This window comes from Homo sapiens, chromosome 2 (genome assembly GCF_000001405.40).
Source record: "Homo sapiens chromosome 2, GRCh38.p14 Primary Assembly".
Lineage (NCBI taxonomy): Eukaryota > Metazoa > Chordata > Mammalia > Primates > Hominidae > Homo > Homo sapiens.
In genome coordinates this window covers 13381299-13406435 of record NC_000002.12, presented here as the reverse complement: position 1 = coordinate 13406435, position 25137 = coordinate 13381299, and the positions used below count along the sequence as shown (strand labels likewise).

The window sequence follows — 25137 nt, the reverse complement described above, 5'->3', positions numbered from 1 at the left end:
AAAAAGTAATGAAGAAGCTGCTGGTGTGTTACAACTAAATCAGAATTCTTGTTTGCTGGAGGGCTACATCTCTATCTAATCTACAACTACGTCTACATCTACTGTGTCAAGGAAGTATTTAAGGGCTTTTTACAGGAATTGTCTGTTTAAAGCTTTTTCAGATTTTATTAAGATGGTTATATGATTTATTTCATTTTTTAGAATTTTATATTTAATTGACAATAAAAATTATTCTGTACATCATGTACACTGTGACGTCTATATACATGTGTACATTGTGGAATGATCAAATCAAGCTAATTAACATATCTATCACCTCACATACTCATTTGTGGTGAGAAAACTTAAAATCTATTCCCTTCACATTTTTCAAATATACATTATTATTAACTACAGTCACCACGCTGTGCAATCGATCAGCAGTACTTATTCCTCCAGTCTAACTAAAACTTTGTACCCATTGACCAATGTCTCCCCTCTGTTTTTCACCCCACTCCCCCGACCCCTGGTAGCCATCATTCTACTCTCAACTTCTATGAGTTCAACTTTTTTATATTCCAGATACAAGTGAGATCATGTGGTATTTGTCTTTCTGTGCCTGTCTTACTTTACTTAGTGTAATGTCCTCTAGAGTCATTTATGTTGATGCAAATGACAGAATTTCCTTTCCTTTTCGGACTGAATAATGTTCCATTGTGTATATACATATATATATACCCATTCATCCATATTAAACACTTAGGTTGTTTCTGTATCTTGGCTATTGTGAATAACACGGCAATGGACATGGGAGTGCACATATCTCTTCAGCATACTGATTTCATTTTGTTGGGATATATACCCAGAAGTGGGATTGCTGGATCATATGGTAATTCATTTCTATTTGTTTGAGAAATCTTCATAATGTTTTCCAAAATGGCTATACTGACTTACATTCTCATCAACAGAGTGCAAGGGTTCCCTTTGCTTCACATCCTTGCCAACACTTGCCATCTTTCATCTTTTTGGTAATAGGCATTCTAACAGGTGTAAGGTGATATCTCATTATTGTTTTTATAAATTGTATTTCCCTGATAATTTTTGTACTTAAGCATTTTTTATATATCTATTTGCCATTTGTATGTCTTTTCTTGAGAAATGTCTATTCATGTACTTTGCTTATTTTTAAATAGGGTTATTTGCTTTCTTGTTATTGAGTAATTTGAGTCTCTTATATATTTTAGATATTAACTACTCATGAGATGAGTTATATGTAATTTTTTCCCCAATCTGTGGGTCATCTCTTCATTCTACTGATTTTTTTCCTTTGCTGTGCTGAAGCTGTTTAGTTTGATGTAATCCCATTTGTCTATTTTTGTTGCCTGTGCCTTTGTGGTCATATCAAATAAATCACTGCCTAAACCAATGCCATGGGTATTTGGGCTCTTTTTTGGTTCCATATAAATTTTAAAATATTTTTTCTAGCTCTGTGAAGAGTATTATTGGTGGTTTGATAGGAATAGTATTGAATCTGTAAATCACTTTGGGCAGTATAGCCATTTTAATGACATTGATTTTTCCTATTAATGAGCATGGGATGTTTTTCCATTTGTTTGTGTCTTCTCTGACTTCTTTGAGCAGTGTTTTGTAATTTTCATTGCAGAGATCTTTCACCTTCCTGGTTAGCTGTATTCCTGGGTAGCGTGTGTGTGTGTGTGTGTGGCAATTGTGAATGGGATTTCCTTTCTGATTTAGCTGTCAGTTTAGTTGTTGTTGGTGTGTACGAATGCTAGTGCTTTTTGTACGTTGATTTTATAGCCAGCAACATTGCTGAAGTTGTTTATCAGCTGAAGTTGATATGGATTTTAATGATAAAAAATTCCTCCGATATACAATAAATCTAGACAATAGGTTTTATTGTATTTTTTGAGATTGTATATGTTTCTTTTATATTTCCTGTTTGATCAGAGTATTTAAAATATTTTAATATTATTAAATGCAAAGTATTTTTTAAATTTTGTCATTAATTTCTACTTATATGTGATTTGTGATTAGATACATTTGTGTTACTCATTTTCTTGTAATGTGTCAAGTTTTTCCTTGTAGTCAACTACAGCAAATTTTGTGAATATTCTATTTTTATTTGAAAAGACTTTGTGTGGTTTATTACCTTCTTAATCATGCTCTTTTCATCTTCTATATCTTTACTAATTTTTGTTATTTGTCCTGGAATGAGAATATGTGTTTTCAATTCTTCATTTTAGTGTGTTTCTCTCTAAAGCATTTTTTAGTTTTATTTTCTCTTACAAACTTATTTTTATTTTTTCTTGCAGCTCTGTATTTTCTTCCTCATGAAGACTTTTGCTGCATTTTTGAGGCTATAGACATTAATATCTGGTATGTTTTCTTTGAGTATTAAAGCTTTTAATATTATAAAGTGAACTAGAATCTATTATGATTTTATTCTGAAAGTAAGCTTGCTAGACGCTAATATTTTATTCTTCACTCTCCTCCTACTTTTCCATAGTTCATCATTGTCACGTTTTTATGTTTAGCGTTTCTGGATTTCATTGTTTTAGGTTTGTCTCTAGTGTTCTGCATAGGGTGAGAAAGCCTCTCTAACTTTTTAAATATTATCAATACGTTTGGCTTCAGTTCTCTTGTGGTCGTTTCATTTCTATTTTATTTTTTTCTATCACTTTTTATTATTTAAGTTTTATACTTTCATTCAAATGGTCAAATTCTTATACTTACTTTTGTATGTAATGTTCTCATCTCTGTCCCCCAAATTTGGATACAGTATATTGGTTCCCTACTATTAACTATAATGAACTTTACCAGTCAACTCTTTTTCCTCCTTTTCTCCTTTTCCTCCAAGATTTAATGTGAAGTAAAAATCTTTTATACCCATAGTTTTGTAGTTCAACTCTATCTTCATTATGAGACATACACAATTTACATACTATACCTTTTCCATTATGATGTTCATTTTATTTCAGTTTACCAGAAATAAACAACATTAATTTACTACTCATGACTAAATTTTTATGTTGGTGTCCTCCTGTTTTTTTTTTTAATTATCTGAAGCTTGCTTTCTAATAGATATTTCTCTTTTTAAGTTATCTCTTTAGTATTTGCTTGGCTAAATGTCATCTTACTGCAAACCAAAAACTAAATCCAAATTTTCACAAAAATAGCTAACCCCAGTAATGATTTCTGTATCTGATGTTATATAGATTTTTATTGAGGGGAATTTCACTAGAAAGGAAAGTTTTTCTCTACACCACAGAGTGTGATATCATTACTCGTTGGTATCCACTCTTAATTTTCTTTCTAAGTTGGAGCTTGTCTTTTACTTGTGAGCACTTTCATCACTTCCACTTGCCCTCACTCACTCTTTTCTCCCTTTGCCTCTTTTTAGCACTCCTCTTCAGGGTTTAGCTAAGTGCCACATGTGTTTGCAAAATCTAAATCTTGGGAACACTTGGATATTTCTGCCTATGCAGGTGATTGCCTTTTTTGTTGATTGCTTCTGGTGTGCTTTTTTGGTTCTCACTCTCCATCAAAGATTAGTTGTTCAAGTTATGAGTTCTTGGAGGAAGATGCTATGTGAAACATAACTTTACCATCTTTAGCTGCCATCTTAATTCCACTTGATCATACAAATCTTGCTTTCATATTTGTATTGATTGTATCTCCTTTATGGTTTAGCTTATGCATGTAAGGAATAGCAGTTCTGCCATTGCCTGTAGAGAGATGAAAGTGTTCTTGATCTAAGTGAGTGTTTTCAAGTCAGAATTACTTTTTATATTTTTCTAAAGAAATAATACAATATTTATCATTTAATAAATAGTTTAAAAGTATATTAAAATATCCCTACCATTACTTAAGAAACTGACATATCATGGAGATAATTGTATCCCAATATGAAAATAAAGAAGTATGGATATTTTTGAGGCATAAAAATATGGGTAGGACATAAGTGGCCACAAATATTAAAGTGTTTCTTTTTCTACTTACATTATAGTGTGAAAAAATTAGTCTAGCACTCGATGAGTATGTAAAATAAGTCAATGATTAGGAAGACAGTGTCTGGGAAGCCAACATTCAAACAGCTACTAAACTATAAATTAACTTAAGTCAAATTTCCCAATGCTTTAATAGTAAATTGATACTGTATCAAATAATCATATCTTATTAATAAGGCAGCATCATTACAACTGAAAAAATTATTCAAGGGTAAAATGAATGATTTGTGACTTTCTGAGAAAAATATATTTTGGTTATCTTTAGAAGAAAACAATTGATCTGCACTCCAATTACCTTAGCAAAATAAATTTAAAATTAGATTTGGAGTCAGCTAACAGTTGTGATTTGCATTTCAAAATAATTTATGTTAGGAATTCAAAGTATATTATTTCATATAAGTTGAAATACAAATTGAGACATCTGCCAAATTTTACCTTAAAGATGGGGTAATTCATTGAACCTTTTATGATTTGAAATACTGTTTTTTACCTTTTCTCAGATTAACAAAAATCATGAGAACTGCTTTATCGAACACCAATTTTTGCCAGGCTAAGCATTACATATGCATATACACAAATACACACGCATACTGTGTATATTACATGTATGTAATCTCTACTTCACAAAAATACTTGCAAGAAGAAATTAATAAACCCATTTTACATGTGAAAAAATAGGCTCAACCAGACTGGTTACATTTCCCTCTGTTAAAGAGCTCATATACTGCAGAGGTGATAACCAAACCTGTTCCATCTATTCTACATCTTTCTGATGCTGCTCTACGTTTTCAAACTTCCATATAAATAAGGGTTAGCAATTATATTTATATAGATATTTTGCAGTGTGTGAAGGAGATGAGAAAACATTTAAATTAATTTAGAGTGATCTCATTGACTTTCACTTTCAAGCACCTGTAGTGCCTAGGATGTTCTCACGCAAATAGCTCTTGTCAATACATTTTTTTTTCATATAGCACTGAAGACAATGATGGATCATTTTTCAGTTAAAAATCTAATGTCTCAGAAAGACAGAATCATGAATCTACATTCTTTTAAGGTACAAGAAATAATATAACAACACTACCAGTAATAAGCCTGAGATATGGAAAATTTAGTGCAATAAGTTGTTCATAAATGTGTCTCCATGAAACAATAAAAGGTACAAAGAGAGACAACAGTAGGTGTACAAAAGATGCCCTTAACAGTCTTGTTTCAAAGTCCAGACCCTTTTGAGTAGTAAATAACTATAAATGACCTCCTATTTGAAAATAACAATTAGTTAGCTGACTCTTATTATTTACAATTGTTTAGACTATTCCATCAATTTATCCTTTTACAGTGCTTTCCAATGTGTCTGCTAAAATATTTAGTGTTTTCCTTACTTCCTTTATTGTCTCTCAATATAAATACCACTTAATATGCTAAATACCTTCTCTTCCATTTTCATCAGAAGCTGATTATCGAAGGAATCATACATACATTATCTTCATCTTATTCAATTCCCATTCACTTTTCAACAGACTGAAATAAGAAATTCATATTCACTACTATTTTCAGGGATTGATATCGCTCTACTTTCCCTGACAATTGTTTTCACAACCCTGGAATTTCCTTCCTCCTCTTTTTATATTGCCACAAATTCTTTCACCACTCAGCTAGAACACTCATTTTCATAGACCAAGAAACACAGTTCAGTCATCAACTTGTCATTTTTTTGATGTGTCTTCTAGGGTAAACAAAATTTTGTTAAGTATTAAGGAATTACTTGCTCAAGGGACATTTATTCTCTATTGTCCAAAAACTCTTGAGTCTTAATTTGTTTGCTCTTCCAGTCACCTCTAATGACAGCCCTGCTGATATTTAGCTTAGAGGGTACTTTCCCTTGTTTAATTGAGCTGAAATATATTAGAGAGAAAAACACACAAATCATGGACAAGTCAGAATGTAAAGTTGTTCCTAAAATGGCAGGACAATTATAGTAAAATAGGCCAGGTGCAATGGCTCACGCCTGTATTCCAAGCACTTTGGGAGGCCAAGGCTGGTGGACCACTTGAGGTTCGGAGTTTGAGACTAACCTGGCCAAAATGGTGAAACCCCATCTCTATTTAAAAAAACACAAAAATTAGCCGGGTGTTGTTGTATGCACCTGTAATCCCAGCTACTTGGGAGGCTGAGGCAGGAAAATCACTTGAACCCAGGAAGCAGAGGTTGCAGTGAGCCGAGATCGCACCACTGCACTCCAGCCTGGGCAGCAAAGCGAGACTCCAACTCAAAAAATATGTATATATGATAAAATAAGAGCGAACATATTTTATATCACAAGGCAAGTTAGTTACAGTAAATTGCAGGTGCAGATGAAGTAGTTATCAAGGAGCTTAAGTACTGAATCTGAAAGAAACTCCAGCTTTATTTACAGTGAATACTGTAAATAAGTAGACATTTTCTATATTATTATAAAATTTTTTTGTAAGCATATTTGTATTTATAATTCAGTATTTTGTATTAAGGTGCCTTGATTAACGATAATTTACTATCTTAATTATAAAGATGTATAATTTCTCTTTTTTTTTTCTTTTTTCTTTCCAATGTTTATTTTAAGTTCAGGGATACATGTGCAGGATGTGCACGTTTATTACACAGGTAAATCTGTGCCACGGTGGTTTGCTGCACAGATCATCCCATCAACCAGGTATTAAGCCCAGCATGAATTAGCTATTCCTCCTGATGCTCCTCCTCCTCCCAGCCCCATCCTCTGACAAGCCCTAGTTTGTGTTTTTTCTTGTCATGTGTCCATGTGTTCTCATCATTCAGCTCCCACTTATAAGTGAGAACACTTATTTTGTTTTCTGTTCCTGAATTAGTTTGCTAAGGATAATGGCCTCCAGCTCCATCTATGTTTCTGCAAAGGACACAATCTCATTCTTTTTCATTGCTGCATAGTATTCCGTGGTGTATATGTACCATATTTTCTTTATCCAGTCTATTATTGATGGGCATTTGAATAAGAATGTAAGAATAACATATACTTTTGGGTATATACCCAGTAATGAGATTGCTTGATTGAACGGTATTTCTGCTTCTCGGTCTTTGAAGAATCACTATATTGTCTTCCACAATGGTTGAACTAATTTACATTCCCATCAACAGTGTAAAAGCATTCCTTTTTCTTCAGACCATGGCAGCATATGTTGTTTCTTGACTTTTCAATAATTGCCATTGTGACTGGTATGAGATGGTATTTTATTATGGTTTTGATATGCATTTCTCTAATGATTAGCGATGTTGAACTTTAAAGCCAGAGTGGCCCCTTTCCTCCAAATGACCACAACACCTTTCCAGCAAGGGCTCAGAACTGGACTGAGGCTGAGATGGCTGAAATGACAGAAGCAGGCTTCAGAATGTGGATAAAAACAAACTTTGCTGAGCTACAGGTATCTATTGTAACCCAATGCACAAAAGCTAAGAGTCATGATAAAACAATGCAGGAGCTGAAAGCCAAAATAGGTGCAATACAGAGGAACATGACCAACCTGATAGAGCTGAAAGACACACTACAAGAACTTCACAGTGCAATCACAGTATTAATAGCAGACTAGACCAAGAACATTAGAGGTTGAAGACTCTCTGTCTGAAATAAGACAGGCAGACAAGAATAGAGAGATAGATAAGAATAAAACAGAATGAACAAAACGTTTGGAAAATATGGGATTATGTAAAGAGATGTAATCTACAACTAACTGGGATACTCGAAAGAGATGGGGAGAATGGAAGTGATTTGGAAAATATACTTCAGGATACCATCAAGGAGATCTTCCCCACCTAGCAAGACAAGCCAACATTCAACTTCAGAAAATGCAACAAACCCCAGTAAGATGCTCCATGAGAAGATCATCCCCAAAATATATAATCATCAGAGTCTCCAAGGTCGACATGAAAGAAAAAATGGGAGCCAGAGAGAAAAGCCAGGTCATTTACAAAGGGAAACCCATCAGACTACAGAGGACCTCTCGGGGGAACCCTATAAACTAGAAGAGATAGAGGGGGCAATATTCAACATTCTTAAAGAGAGAATTTTCAACCTAGAATTTCACATATGGCCAAACTAAGCTTCATAAGCAAAGGAGAAGTAAGATCCTTTTCAGACAAGCAAATGCTGAAGGAATTTATTACCACCAGACCTGCCTTATCAGAGCTCCTGAAGGAAGCACTAAATACGGACAGGAAAAACTGTTACCAGTCACTACAAAAACACACTGAAATACACAGACCAGTGACTCTATGAAGAAACCACATAAACAAATCTGCAAAATAACCAGCTAGCATCATGATAACAAGATTTTTTTTTTTTTTTTTTTTTTTTTTTTAGACAGGATCTTACTCTGTCACCCAGGCTGAGTGCAGTGGCACAATCACGGCTCACAGCAGCCTCAACCTGTCAGGCTCAAGCGATCCTCAGCCTGCCAAGTAGCTGCAGCTACAGGCACATGTACCATGCCCAGCAAATTTTTGTACTTTTAGTAGAGATGGGGTCTTGCTATGTTGTACGGGCTGGTCTTGAACTCTTGAATTCAAGTAATCTGCTCACCTTGGCCCCGCAAAGTGCTGGGATTACAGGCATGAGCCGCTGTGCTCAGAAAGATGTACAATTTCTAGTTGGCATTCTTACTGCCCTAATATTAATGAGTTTTATTATTATGGGAAGAATTAAAATTTTGACATTGTGATGGGGCCTTCCTAAAGACCCAGAGCACTTCTGGATATTATTAGATAGAAAAATCTTTTGTAAATGATTATCCAGTGAATAGGATACTATACTGTCCATGACTTGGGGATTAAACTCCAAGAGAGGGTTTTGTGAAATGTGCATTATTTTGTAGCTGAGGAGGTAGCAGCTTCATCACATACCTGGTGCCCATGAATGGGTTATTAGCCAAAGACATTCATGCCTTTCAGCCTCCCCATAAGCTCCAGCTATTTACTAGTTACTCCATAATCACATTTCTCTCTTGTCAGCATTTTAAAAAATAAACTTTATATTAGGTTTGCAATTAGTTGACTATAATATTACCAAGGAATCTGTCAGTAATTTATATAGCTGCTACTTACCAATGTAATCACATTTGCCTCTCTAGTGTAACATTTAAAAGAATGAGACAAATAGTTTTGGTCACTTACAATGTACTTTTAGTTTTTAGTTCTTTATCTTTGTAACTTTTTTTATTGAAGCATAACAAGAATTTGGAAAAATTCTCAAACATCAGAACATAGAATCACAGTAAATCACAATCTGCCCCTGACCCATGATCCTTTTAGGCAATTAACTCCAATGACAACCACATTCTTACCTGAAATCACAGATTTTGCTTGTCCTTGATATTATATTACTGGAATTATAAGATATGCATGTTTTTTGCCTCTGGCTTATTTCACAAAAATCTTTGTGAATTTTATACAAATTTATGTGCATAGTTGTATTTTGTTTGTTTTCACTTCCATAGAATACAAATATACCACAATTCATAAGCTCATTTTATTGTATACAGAGCATAAGTGATAATTCTAGAAAATGTCCTTTGTTGAAGGTATGTACACATTTATGTTTGGTATGATTGCAAATATGAGACACAGGGTATAAATACGTTCAATAGATACTATCACAAAGTGTTCCAATGTGGTTTTTTTTTTCAGTGAAACTCTCGGCAGATTTAATTTTTTTTAATTGTGGTAAAATATACTTAATGTAAAATTTGTTATATTCAACTATTTTTATGTGTACAATTTGTTGGCATTAATTATAACACAATGTTGTGCGACCATTACTACTATCTTTTTCCAAAAATTTCCTCACCTAAACAGAAACACTGTACCCATTAAGCAATATCTTTCCATTTCTGCCTTTCCCCTGGTAATCTCTTGTACATTCTTTTTCAATGAATTTGCCTTGTCTGGATAATTCATACAAGTGGTATCACATAATATTTTCCCAGGCAACTTACATCACTTAGCACAGTATTTTCAAGGTTCATTCATGCTGTAGCATGTATCAGAACATCATTTCTTTCTTGGACTGAATAATATTCCATTGTATTCATATACCACATTTTCTTTATACATTCTTCTGTTGATGGACATTTGGGTTATTTCAATCTTTTGGCTATTGTAAATAATGCTGCAATGAACATTGGTATAAAAGTATCTGTTTGAGTCCCTGGATATATATCTGAAAGTGGAATTATCAAGTTCTATGGTAATTGTGTAGAGGTATTTAGCTTTTTGAGACACCATCAAGCTACTTTTCACAGCAACTGCACTATTTACACTTCCATCAGCAATTTATGAGTATTCTAATTTCTGCACATTCTGGACATTTGTTAGTTTCTGTTTCTTAATTAAATATTTTTATTATAACCATATTAGTATGCATGAAGTAATATCTCATTGTGATTTTGATTTCCATTTCCCTAATGATTAATGATGTTGAGCATCTTTTCATATGCTTATTGGGCATTTATAAATATTATTTGAAGAAATGTAAACTTAAGCCAATTACAAAAATTTTATTGGATTGTTCCTTTGTTGTTGAATTGTAATTCTTTATATATTCTGGATATTGAATGTTTATCAGATATATGATTTTCAAATATTTTCTCCCATCTTGTAGGTAGTCTTTTCACTTTCTTGATAGTGTCCTTTGTTGCACAAAAGATTCTAATTTCGTTAAATAATTTGTTAATTTTTTTTCTTTTGTTTCTTGTACTTTTGGTGTCATATCTAAGATTTCCTTGACAAATCTAAGGTGAAGAATATTTATCTGCATGATTTCCTTTAAGAATTTTATGATTTTGTCTCTTATATTGAAGTCCTTGACCCATTTTGAGTTCATTTTTTAATATAGCTTAACTTTTTTTTTCTGCATGTGGAAATTCAGTTATTGTAGCACCATTTGTTGAAGCCAGCAGTAATTATGAGTGTTTCAATTATTCCACATTCTCATAAAGATGTAGTGTTTTCTGTGTTTCTATTTTTCTGTTATGTAAGGGTTTTATACTTTGGTTATAATTTGTATTTAAATGTACAATTATCTTTACTGTGAAGATCAGTACCCTTTCATGTTTATTGGACATTTGGATGTCCTATTTTATAAAGTGCATGTTCTAGCATTTGTCTCACTTTCCAAATGTGAAATGCTAATTTGTTTATATATATTGGATAAGAGTCTTTTGTGGCTTTATTTCTTATTCTCTTAATGGTGACTTTTGAAATTCTTAGTTGTATTACAGTAGAATTTTTAATCTCTTTTCATTGTGATTAATCCTTTTCTGTGTTAAATTTTTTTGCTAGCCCAAATTCATAAAGATATTTTTCTGTACTGTCTTCTAGTAGTGTTAATTTGTACATTTATATTTCCATTCAATTTATATTTATTTTGTATATAGTATAATATAGGAATCTATTAATAGACTCTTTTTTGAAAATATCAATAAACATACAAGTGGCCCAGCAGCAATTATTGAAAAGGCCATTTTTCTCCTATTGCACTCTAGTGTTTCACTTTTATATATCAGGAAACTGTATGTATGTGCAACTGCTTTTAAATACACTTTTACATTTTTGTGATCAGCTTGCCTATACTTTTACCAATTTTACACTGTGCTAATTACTAGAGCATTGCAATAAATCTTGATATAAATTGGAATGAGTTATTTAGCTTTCTTTTTCTTCTTGAACATAGTTTGACTATGTAAGATCCTTCATATTTCTAAACTAATATTGGAAAGAATTTGCCAACCTCAACAAAACAACAGAAAATTATACCTAGTTTTGATTGATATTACATTTGATCTAAATATTTAGAAAGAATTGTGATTTTTATACTATGTATTTTCATAAAATCACATTGTATATCTGTACGTGTACAGGTTTGTTGTATATATGTATGTCATGTATGTATATACACAAAAATATATTCTGCTATTTCTTACAGAACAGTTTTGCAGCATTTGGTGTCAATTTAAATATATTTTATTATAATTATTCTCAGTTATTTGATATTCTTAATTTTATTATATTTTAAACTTTTATTTTCTAATTGCTTTTATTGTATATAAGAAAAATTAATCTATATATTGACTTTTATACAACCAACATGCTAAATTTATTTATTGATTCCTATAGTTTGCCAATGGATGCTTTTGGATTTTCTATATATGTAATTGTATGATCTCTGAATAATGAGAGGTATTTCCTCCTTTTTAATCTTGTGGTCTTTCTTTTTCTTCTATTACTACACTATGTAGAACTAACTTGTAATATCATTAATAGAATTTGTAAGTTTGGGGACACTTATGGCATTTCTCACGTCAAAGGAAATACATTCAATAATTCACTCATAACTATAAAATTTACAGTATGTTTTTGGTTAATATTCTTTGTCATATTGTATAAATTTCCATCTACTTACACATTATCATGAAAATTTATTGTTGACAGGTGGTTAATTTTATCAAATATTATTCCTAAATATATCAATAATAAGGTGTCATTTTCTTTTTTGTTAATATGTAATAAATTCTATTGATTGATTGAAGAATATTAAGCTGCTCTCACATTCCTGTAATAAACCTTAATTGGCTTTGTGATATATTATCAGTTTTCACAAATATATGAATACAGTCGAGCCTTTAACAACATAGGTTTGAGCTGCATAGGTCCACTTATATACAGATTTTCTTCTGCCACTGCCACACCTGAGACAGCAAAACCAAACCCTCCTCTGCCTTTTCTTCAGCCTAGTCAACATGAAGACAATGAGGATAAAGGCCTTTTAAATGACTCCACTTCCACTTAATGAATAATAAATATATTTTATGTTCCTTATGATTTTTTTAATAAAATTTTCTTTTCTGTAGCTTGATTTATTGTAAGAATACAGTATATAATACATATAACGTACAAAATATGTGTTAATCAACTCTTCATATTATCAGTAAGGCTTCTAGTCAACAGTATGCTATTAGTAGTTAAGTTTTAGGGGAGTCAAAAGTTATGCACAAATTTTCAATTGCATGGATGGGTCAGCATCCCTAACCTTGACATTGTTCAAGGGTCAGTTGTAAAATGATTTCATCAGTGTTGATAATACATTATTCTGTGATTTTTTTCTACTAATGTTGTTGCCAAAGTTTACTATAAAGAATATCATAGCTTTATAACAGGACTTGTGAAGTGTTCTCACGCTTTTTATGTTCTCTAAAATACTTTTTGTAATACCAGTGCTATTTATTTTCTAAAAATTAGAAATAATTCATAGGGCACATCCTGTGTACCTCAAATTGTGTTGAGGGTATTAATGAATTCATTGTTTTACATAGATATAGGACTACTTAGGCTTTCTATTTCTTCTTGAGTCTGTTTCAACAAGTTTTTCTTTTGTGATATATGCATATGTCATATAAAGTATCAAATATATTGGCCTGAAATATTTTTAATCTTGTTATATCTTTAATTTGTAAGAAAGATCTATAGTAATTATCCAGTTTTCATTAGTGATATTAGAATATATTTCTTTGTTATTTGATTTTACTTTTTCTTTAAAAAAATTTCAAACAAAAAAGTGGTAATTTTGTATATACCCAGAAATCTACTATAACAATTATCAAGTCATGATCAATCTTGTTATTTTAACTATACTCTCACCCATTTTGAAACTGCATTACCCATATTATTTTGAATTAAATCCCATGAATCTTATGATTTCATTTATACATATGTTTGTGTTTTTGTTTTTTTTTTTTTTGTTTTTTTTTTTTTGACAGAATCTCACTCACTCTGTCGCCCAAGCTGTAGCTAGAGTACAGTGGTATGATCTCAGCTCACTGGAACCTCCACCTCCCAGGTTCAAGCAATTCTCCTGCCTCAGCCTCCCAAGAAGCTGGGATTCCGGGAGTGGTGGCACATGCCTGTAATCCCAGCTACTCAGGACAATTGCTTGAACCTGGAGGTAGAGGTTGCAGTGAGCCAAGATTGTGCCACTGCACCCCAGCCTGGGTGACAGAGTGAGACTCCATCTCAAAAAAAAATAAATAAAAATAAATAAATACATTAAAAAGTACATAAATTCAACTTCCAGGGTATTTGTCAATTTTCCTAATTTTTTAAAAAATAATTCTTTTCCTGTTTTACTTTTTCCTCTGTCATTGTGGTAGTTAGTTAACACTAATAGGACCCCATGGGTTATGCTTCAGTGTTTATGCCCTTTTGTAGTTACTTCCTCTTGAATCCAAGCTTAGCTTATAACTCAAACACTTTAGAATAGAATATAGCAAAAATATTGCTGTGCAATCCTAGCCTAAGCTTTAAAAAAGTATAAAACTTCCACTTATGAACTCTTAGAAGTCCTAAAGTTTTACATGAGAATTCTAGATGAAACTGTGTAAAGAGAAAATATGAAGAGGTCATGTGGAGAGAGAGAACCTTGAGAACTGAAGAATCCAGACATTCCTCTAATCTAGCTCTTCTAGCCAGACCTCCACTGCCCATATCTCCCTTGATGAGGCACCAAAGGGCTAAAGAAGCTGTTGCAGCCTTTCCAGTAACAGCAGGCATTGAAGGGAGCGTAGATAAGCCCACTGCCTCTGTAAAATCCTGACCCTCAGAATCATGAGAAATAACAAGTGATTGCTGTTTTAAGCCACAATATTTTAAAGGTAGTTTGTTCCATGGAAGAAGCCTAACAAAAGATGGAATGACACCAGAACAGAGGTGCTTCAGCAACAAAATATCAAAATATGTAGCAATGGCTTTATGATCAGGTGGAAGTTATGGACCTAAAAACCTTGAGGAAACTGTTAGAAAGAGCTAAAAACAAACGGACCTTAATGATACTGGCACAAAAATTAGGAAAGCTGCCACCTTCTTATGTGGAAGATAGCAAATGTGGCTAATAAACTTGCAAATCTGGCAAAGAAAATTTCCAGGCAGAGTGGTGAATGTACCAACTGGTTCCTTTAATTGCCTCCAATAAAGAATGTGAGAAGTGAGATGAGCTAAAAGAGGAATTGCGGGAATTTTTTTTCTCGATATGGCCTCAATCCATTCTAGTAGTGTAAAGGCAACATTCTATGGGTTGTTGGTTTCTCTGAAGGAAATGAAAGTAAGCAACAAGAAGGCATCCAGGGAGAAATCATTCCACAAAAGTAATAGGTAGCATTTCAGATGTTATGCCTTTATTAGCATCATCGTATCTTAATGAGAGGACCTCTGGAGGTCTTTCAGCTCTTTGGAAACAGTTCCATGCATATTTGAAATATTGGAAACTGATCCAGAGCAGAAGAATAAATCTCCCAATATCACACAAGCTGGTGAGAAGCAGAGCTGAAAATAAAATCTAGTTTTCCTGGCATCCTTCCTGCTGCACAGCATTGAAGTTCTCTTCCTTTTGCAAAGTGAGACAGGGTAGTGGTAGAGATATCTCAATGCTTAACTGTCAAACTGAACCCAGGCTGCTTGATAGTGTCACAGGGAGAAATAATCTAATGGGCTGAAATGAAGAGAGGAAAATAGTTCTCAGCAAGTGGCATCAGCTTATTTGGTATTTTTTTCTCAGCTTATTGTTACAGACATGTTAATGGCAAATCTGAGAAGGTTCTTTTGTGAATCAGGTTATGGCTATGATTGCTCAAAAAGCTCATTACCAATTTATGAAGAGCAGCAAAACTCATTTTCTCTTAATGTGAAATCACTTCAGCCTGTCAGTAGAGAAACAATTGTTGAAAAGTGAATTGACCACATACGGATCCATTCTTTCTTTTCAAAAGAAATGAAAAAGTCATCTAAAAGGAAAATATCTTGCAATAATGAGATATATGTAACACTCAGCCGGAGTTAAGCCCCAGTTAATATGGTTTTCTGAATTGGGCTACTTTTCTCATTTGCCTACTGTGGGTACCACACAGGTAGACTTCATAAACCTGAGTTATCTGTCTATTAAAGAGCAGCAGGGGCTCTTTGATTCAGGATTTCATTAAAACAACAAAAGGATTTTGGGGGAATAACTGAATTCGCTCTCTGGAATTAGAGATACATAGTTTAATACATACATATTCTTTCCATAAATTGAATGATTTAGGTGATCAAAATGAGTTCTGATCACAATTCCCGGTTCCTCCATGTTAAGAAATAAACAATGATTGTTACCCATAGTGGCTGTAGATATAGCTCTGTGCTGGGTGAGATTGTTTTTCTGTGTTCTGTCTGTGGTTCCTATGACCTCTCTCATGCTCTGTCACTTGGGATATCTAGCTCTTATTCTAGAGTCTTTCAAAGTCTTATTTTTCACACCAGAGCATTTGGCCAAGGTTCAGCATTTAACCACTGCGTCTTTGTCTTTTTTTTTCCTGTAGCTTTATCTTCCACTCTCCACTGAAAATCCCTGGGTATCTACTTAATTGATTAAAGTCAGGAGAGGTTGTGGGCACTGCAGCTTTCTGATATTTTAAGATTGGCATATCTGCATTATCTCTGCCATGACCATCATTGGTCGAATCCCTCACTTGTTTGTTTATTTTTAAGGACTTAATTATTGTAGAGCAGTTTTTGGTTCATAGCAAAATTGAAAGGATGTAACAGGGATTTCCCATAAGTCCTCTGCCCCCTCACATGCAGAGCCTTTCATTATCAATATCCCCTACCAGCGTGGGACAGTTATTACAAATGATGAACCTACATTGACATATCATAATCACCAAACTCCATAGTTTACATTAGGGTTTACCCTGGTTGCTGTACATTACATAAGTTGGAAAAATTTATGATATGTGCCCACCATTAAGGTACCATGCAGAGTATTTTCCCTGCTCTAAAAATTGTCTCTGCTTGGTGTATTCAACCTCTTCACCCCCAACTCCTGGCAACTACTGATCTTTTTACTGTTTTCATAATTTTGCCTTTTCCGGAATGTTGTATCATTGGAAATTTACAGATCGGCTTCTGTCACTAAGGAACATGCACTTAAGATTCTGACATGTTTTTCCGTAGCTTGATAGCTCATTTCTTTTTAGTGCTGAATAACATTCTATCATTTGGATGTAATGCAGGCTATTTATCCTTTCACCTTCTGAAGGATGGATATCTTGGTTGCTTTCCAAGTTCGGGCAATTAGCAATAAAGGTGCTTTAAGCACTCACGTGCAGGCTTTTGTGTGAACAAATATTTTTCATTTCTTTGGGTAAATACCAAGGAATGTGATTACTGGTTAGTATGGTAAGAGTATGTTTAGTTTTGTAAGAAACTGCCAAACTGTCTTCTAAAGAGGCTATAACATTTTGCATTTCCACCAGCAACAAATGAGAGCTCCACTCCAGCATTTGGTCATGACAGTATTCTGGATTTTTCTGGATGCTAATATATGTACTGCTTCTTTGTTTTTTGATAAATGAGTACATGTATCTTCAGAGGAGAAGTGTGCTAGTTGCTTATAGCAAGAGTATAAATCAACATCATCTTCATGAAGCAACAGCTGTATAATTTTAAGACATTAAGATAGATTTATAGTAAATTGATCATGAATATTTTATAGAATATAACAAAAAAATGGATGGGTTTTAGATATAATTACAGATTCCAAAAGTATTGTTTGAAATGAGCCACTAACTCCATTATCCACTGAGGGCAATTGTGTAAAAAATATGAGATCAATAACAATAATAGCAAAAACAAAAACTTGATACTTATAGGTGTATTTACATTTTGAAAAGCTATTAAATTCTATAGTTTTAAATCTAAAGTGCATTGCTCACTGATGTACCTATTTGTGTGTGATCAGCAGACAGGTTTAACGCTTTTTGGTTTACATTTTTCTTCGTATATATGATAATTCACTCAGTTGAGTGTTTCTAAGTGAACATCCATCATTTGTTAATATCTTATAAGGCCATGTAATCAGAGAAGGCCTAATTCTTGAATCTGAATGCCTAAGATATGTGTTCTAGTGTGACCACAACCACACTTTCTAGGTATTTATTGAAAATGAGACTACCACATATCTGCATAAGAACCTTCAGGAGCATGCCATCAGGGGAAAAAAAAAAAAAACAGTATGAAAACAGTGATCAGCAAACTAGACTTCAGCAATCCCCTGAAACAAGTTTTCATCTCAGTACTTAAGAGAAGTCATTCTTTAAAATAATGTGATAAATTATGTTCTGCACTTGATTCTCTAGATTCTAATTTTAAGCCATTAAACACACAGGTAACCATGACACTTCCATAATCTTTTCAAAAATTACTGAAGGTGAAATTAAATCTGCCATTTTGTCTACTTTTTATATTTATCTAAACTCTCTATCAGTTTTCTTATCCATAAAATAAGAATAATGTGGTTTAATAAAGCTTTTGCAAATATTAACATACATGTTGATATAGAAAAATACTTTTTTTTTTTTTTTTGAGACAAGGTCTTGCTTTGTCTCCTAGGCTGGAGTGCAGTAGTGTAAACTGGCTCACTGCAGCCTCAAACTTATGGACCCAACAATCCTGCCACCTCAGCCTAGTTGTCTTCTTCAGTAACAGAGAAAGTTTAGTGGGCATTGCCTCTTCACTCATCTCTGACTAAAATGGAAACAACCACTTAAGAATAAAGTAATCCTTTTGTGGAACATTTTCATTTTACTATGCAAACATCTGAATTTGAACCCATGAAAATCAGTGATAGCCAAAACAGCTATAAAGGATGAAATTTAAGGGGTGGAAGAAGCAACATGATCCTTTTCTTTGCAGCTCATTAAACTCACTGGTTGTATAGTAGAATTCCACATCTATTATTAGGTTAGTTTGGATTGTGTGTTGGGCACACATTGAAGCAGTCAGATGTATAGACTAGGGCAATAAACACAGGTGAAAGTTGAGAATATGACCTATTTTTCTCTGGGATTTCAGAATCTAATTGAGGAGAAAGACATGAAAAAGGCAGCTGATGTATATTTTCATATAAGAAGTAGTCCGTTAAACACAGGTTGTAATGAGAGAAGGCACTATCTAACACAAGCTGGGAGTGAGGGGGCAGTTGACTGAGTAAGGCGGGAGTATTCAGCAGAAAGTGGTTGCTTGCATGGTGTGAGTAGACTTTATACCAAAACAAAGATGAAGGTCATCTAAAGAAAAGAATACATTGGTAGAAGTGGAAAAGCTTATCAATACATACATTCCTAGATAAGAGTCCAACATGGCCCAAGAGGAGGTAAAATAATTAGTCTCCTCTACTCAGCTCTGCAGTGCTGTAGACTGATGACTTCCAACTTCAGGTGTATTACTGTCAAAAGAGAAGCAGAGGCTACCTAAGTGGGCCAGCACACCTACCATATAATGAGTTAGGCTGTAAAAATGGTATTATCGCTAAAAATTTGACATCTACAAAGTTTTTATATGTTCTCTATTTATAACATTTTTAGGGCATAAGGATAGACAAGTGTCTTTCTAGAGATTACCTGGGATAAACACTAGTGTGGCAGGATTAGCAAATGATCATATTCCAGGGCATCATGCTACCACCCTATTTAAATAATCTGATTGTTTCATTACCCTTGAATCAGCTAGCTCTTGCAATTGCTAAGACTGATTGTAAAGGAGTTCAAGCAACATGTCTTTTTAAAAAATAAAAGTAAAAACTTCACGTTTGCCCTGGTGTGGTGGCTCACGCCTGTAATCCCAGCACTTTGGGAGGCTGAGGCAGGCTGATCACCTGAGGTCAGGAGTTCGAGACCAGCCTGGCCAACATGGTGAAACCCCATCTCCACTAAGAATACAAAAATTAGCTAGGCATGGTGGCACGTGCCTGTAATCTCAGGCTGAGGCAGGAGAATCACTTGAACCCGGGAGGCGCAGGTTGCAGTGAGCCAAGATAGCACCAACGCACTCCAGCCTGGGGGACAAGAGCAATACTTGCCTCAAAAAAAAAAAAAAAAAACCTTCATGTTTGTTGTTACAACATTAGGGCAAGCTTTCTATAGAAGAGTAATAAAAGGCCACTAAAAAAAATTTTCAAAATCCTACTACTCAGAAATGAAACCAAAATACAAACATGGTTATTATTTAGTGAAGAGCATTCTACATATTTCTCTGTGGAGACAGACATATGAATAGACATGTAAATAAATAGGATCAATTTATACAATCCCACAAATTAGATTCTGTACACTACATTATGTTTACTTTTATAATACTTAATTTAGTGAAATAAAATAAAGCAGAAGTAAAATTATAGCAAAAATAAACTATTCCAGCACAAAAAATTTAATTCTAAAATGTAGTTCTAAATTAAAAACAGCAAAAGCAAGAAAAACAGAAGATAAAGATAAAAGTATTGTTATTGTGTCACTTTTTCTATAATTCAACTTGAAATAGTGACTTCATATTCATATTTAATAGAAGAGGATATAATATTTGTACCTCTATTCTCCATATGGATTGATTTATTTTGTTACATTGTTAAGTTTACATTGCCAATGCTTTAAAAAGTTATTCTCCTTTAACCAAGATTGACAAAGATTTTGTTTCATTCTAATTTAATTTCCATATTTAAATAGAGGGTAATTTTCGGCATCATTCATTTTACTGAATCTTCACATTCTTGAGTCTGTTATTTTAATTTCTGTCTGGCTTGACGTGTTTTCAAGTCAAGAGTGAGAAGTAAAGCTCCTGGGTGTTTTCTTCCGTTACACTTGCAAGAACACATGACTGGCTTCAGAATTCCAGGGTCACCTTCCTTTCTGTCAGAATTTTGCAGTCACTGCCTCATTGCCTTCCATCCAGCATGGAGCATTTCTGTGGAAAGTCTTCCACCCCAGAGGCCTCCATTTTGATCAGTTTTGGGTATTTATTCCAAAAATATACTGGACTTCCAATTCTTCTTACTGACTTATTTTCCTTTAGCAATTGTATTTCTGAATTTTCAAAAGCTTTTGTGTATTTTATTTTTTGAATTTTTTACTTATTACAGCTTCCTCTACCTTCGAGATGTATAGGTGTTATACATTTTCTCTCCCTGAACATAACTGCATATCATTTTTAAAAGTTTTTTCCTGTGCCTGTATTGTATCTTTTATTATAGATTTACTTGCAATTATTATTATTATTATTATTATTATTATTATTATTATTATTATTATTTTTACCTTGATCCCTGCCTTTCATGTTTGAGGTTATTGTCAAATCTTGGCTATTTATTCATTTTTAAGATAGAGGAACCATAACACTTATTGGAGATGGTATTTGGGTGATGTTACATGTCTGTTTGTGAATTTCTCTATACTTATTACTACCAGTGTATGGATCTGAACAGAAGAAGTTATGAGAGTGACTTACAATTAACGTTAGTACAATGAGATTTTACCCTTCTGTTTGGTAGACCTTATTCTCTTGTTCTGTGAATTGTGTCCCTACACCTGGCCCTTCTCTTGACATATTTCTCCAGAGAATAAATATCTAGTCTTATGCCTCATTCTAGAAAGAATAGGTACTGGACTCTGTGGGATGTAATTGGGAAATGGAAGTCCTTTCTGTTTCTTCTGTGAACTTTCACCCCAGCCACCACCAACTACAGTAGTACTAGTCTTCATTCCTAAATTCATTTGTTCTGCAAAGTTGGATTGCTTCTTACTAGTTTCTGCAATTGTTTGAGGCTTTTTCACTCACAAGTTAGAGAATGAGACTTCAGCTAATTCTTAACTGTGTCTCCTTCTTGTTCTGTGTGTTTTTTGAAGGAGAAAGAAGTCAAAAGTTCTCTACCATCTTAAAGCCAAAAATTCATATTTTATTTGTTTTGCTATTTTCTTCAGAAACATCAAATTTATAGTACACATTGCTTTTCTTGTCATTTCTCTCCATTTTGTAATTTGTGTATGCAGAATTCTAAGATGACATCTAAGAGTTTCACCCCCTGGTGTGTATGTCCCTTGTAATTCCAACATCAAGGATGGGCAGATCTGTGACTATGAGGGATAGTTACTCTCATGAGTATATAAAGCTACATAAGACTTCTTCCTAGCCCACTGGAGAGAGATGCTTCTGCTGGTTTTGAGTAAGCAGCCATGTTGTCATAGGGCGTGGCCAACAGCCTGCAACAACACAGAGACCTCAGTCTTACACCTGTAATGAACTGAACTTTGCCAGCAACTGGATGAGAACTACAGGAAGCCAGTGCCTTAATGGCAGAATGATGGGCTCCTTAGCAGAAGACCTACATAACTCAGGGCTGGGCTCTGGACCCACAGAAATAGTAATTTCCATGTTGTTTTGTGTTGTGTTGTTTTAAGCAACTACATATGTGGCAATGGGTTATGTAGCAATGGAAAAGTACTACCACATTTGATCATATAATTTTATTCCCCTGCTTTAACTTGATGCTATACGTTATGTCAGGACCAATCTTTCCAATGGAATGTACTATATGCTCTGAGGCAGCCTACTCATGTGACTTTAATTTCTGTAATGGTTATTTTATTTTTGTCTTAAGCTTCTCAAATTTACTTTTTATTTTTTCAAATTTCATGGCTTTCTAAACCGTATATCTTTTTTTCCAACTTAAATTGGTGTAATAACATCATTCATTTGTTTTCAATCATAAGGGAGTATTTGCATGAATTCTTCCTTCATTTCCTGAGTGATTTCATTTAGAATGTGTGCTCTTCATTAACCTATTGATTATCATCCTCTCCTCATCACCACCATCAATCACGCTTCTCTCCACTCCTTTCCCCAACTTTCACTCACAGGATTTCAGAATGTGTCTTCTGACTTCCTTCAGTCATTTGCCTATGTTTTTTTTTAATTACCTTTTATTTTAGATACAGGAGACACATGTGTAGGACTGTTACATGGGTATATTGGTCCCAAGTAGTGAGCATAGTACTCAGTAGGTAGTTCTTTAACCTGTGCCGCTTTCCTCCCTTTTCTGCCTAGTCGTGTGCAGTATCTATTGTTCCCATGTTTATGTCCATGTGTGCTTAATGTTTAGCTCCAACATATACATGGGAATATGTGGTGTTTTGCTTTTTGTTCCTGTATTAATTTGCTTAGGACTATGGCCTCCAGGTCCAGCCATGTTGCTGCACGGGACATTATACTTTATGCTGCATGGTATTCCATGATGTATATGTACCACATTTTCTTTATCCAATTCACTGTTGATGGGCACCTAGGTTGAATCCACGTCTTTGCTATTGTGAATAGTGCTGTGATGCACATCTATGTGCATGTGTCTTTTGGTAGAATGATCTATGTTCCTTTGAGTATATACCAAGAAATAGGATGACTGGGTTAAATGGTAGCCTTGTTTTAAGTTCTTTGAGAAATCTCCAGACTGCCTTTTACAGTGGCTGAACTAATTTACATTCCTACCAACTACAAATAAGCATTCCCTTTACTCCAAAGCCTTGCCAACATCTGTTGTTTTTTGACTTTTTAATAATAGTCATTCTGACTGGTGTAAGATGGTACCTCACTGTGGTTTTGATTTGCATTTCTCTGATGATTAGCGATGATGAGCGTTTTTTTCATGCTTGTTGACCATTTATATGTCTTCTATTGAGGAGTGCCTGTCCATGTCCTTTCTCCATTTTTTTAATAGAGTTATTTGCTTTTAACTTGTTGATTTAAGTTCTTTATAGATTATGAATATTAGACCTTTGTCAGATGCTGATATGGTTTTGCTCTGTGACACTCGCAAATCTCATCTCAAAATGTAATCCCCACATGTCCCGGGAGAGACCTGGTGGAAGGTGATTGGATTACGGGGGCAGTTTCCCCCATGATGTTCTCATGATAGTGGGTGAGTTCTCAGAACAGCTGATGGTTTTGAAGTGTGGCACTTCCTTGTTTTCTTGCTCTCTCTCTCCTACCACCAGGTAAGAAGTGCCTTCTTCCCCTTGACCTTTTGCTATAACTGTAAGTTTCCTGAGTCCTATCCAGCCATGGAGAACTGGGAGTCAATTAAACCTCTTTTTTTTTTTAATAAATTACTCATTCTCAAGTAAATCTTTATAGCAGTGTAAAAAAAAGACTAATACAGATACATAGTTCATGAATATTTTCTCCCATTCCATAGCTTGTCTGCTTATTCTGTTGCTGGGCAGAAGCTGTTTAGTTTAATTAGGTATCACTTGTCAATTTTTGTTTTTGTTGCAATTGCTTGGGGACTTAGCCAAAAATTATTTGCCAAGGCCAGTGTTGACATGAGTATTTCCTAGGTTTTATTCTAGTGTTTTTATAGTTTGAGATCTTACATTTAAATATTTAATCCATCTTGAGTAAATATTTGTATTAGTGAAAGATAAGAATTTGGTTTCATTTTTCTGCTTATGGCAAGCCAGTTAACCTAAAGCATTTATCAAATGGCAAATCCTATCCCTATTGCTTGTTTTCATTGACCTTGTCGAAAATCAGATGGTTGTAAGTGAGCAGCTTTATATTTTAGTTTTCTATTCTGTTCCATTGGTCTATGTGTCTGTTTTTGTATCAGTACTATGCTGGTTTTTCACGGTAGCCTTATTGTTTGAAGTTGATAGTGTGATGCCTCCAGCTTTGTTCTTTTTGCTTAGGTTTGCATTGGCTATTTGGGCTCTTTTTTGCTTCCACATAAATTTTAGAATAGTTTTCCTAATTCTGATAGTTTGATAGGAATAGCATTGAATCTGTAAATTGCTTTGGGCAGTATGGCCATTTTAATGATATTGATTTTTCATTATCATGAAACATTAAAACATTCCATGAGTATGGAATGTTTTCCCACTTATTTGTGTCACCTGATTTCTTTCAGCATTGTTTTCTAGTTCTCCTTGTAGAGATTTTTCACCTTCTTGGTTACCTGTATTCTCAGGTGTTTCATTTTCTTTGTGGTTATTGTAAATGTGATTGTGTTCTTAATATGACTCTCAGCCTGGATGGTATTGGCACATATAAATGGTACTGATGTTTTCTACATTGATTTTGTATCATGGAACTTCGCTAAAATCATTTATTAGTTCCAGTAGCCTTTCTCCTGCTTGACTGCTCTGGCTGTGACTTCCACTACTATGTTGAATATGAAATGGTCAGAGTGCTTGCCTTTTTTTCAGTTCTACAGGGGAGTGGTTCCAGC

The 25137-nt window shown here is 34.0% G+C and overlaps 1 long non-coding RNA gene across 1 annotated transcript in view; it reads right to left on the bottom strand.

The window, feature by feature from the left end:
* Window positions 1–3202: 3202 nt before the first annotated feature.
* Window positions 3203–25137, bottom strand: part of LOC105373437 (uncharacterized) — a 45933-nt gene continuing 23998 nt past the window's right edge. The window contains exons 2-4 of the long non-coding RNA XR_922813.1: window positions 19207–19314; window positions 5437–5528; window positions 3203–3725 (exon numbers count right to left, since the gene is read on the bottom strand). This is a non-coding gene — a long non-coding RNA (uncharacterized LOC105373437). The remainder of the gene's footprint in view (window positions 3726–5436; window positions 5529–19206; window positions 19315–25137) is intronic.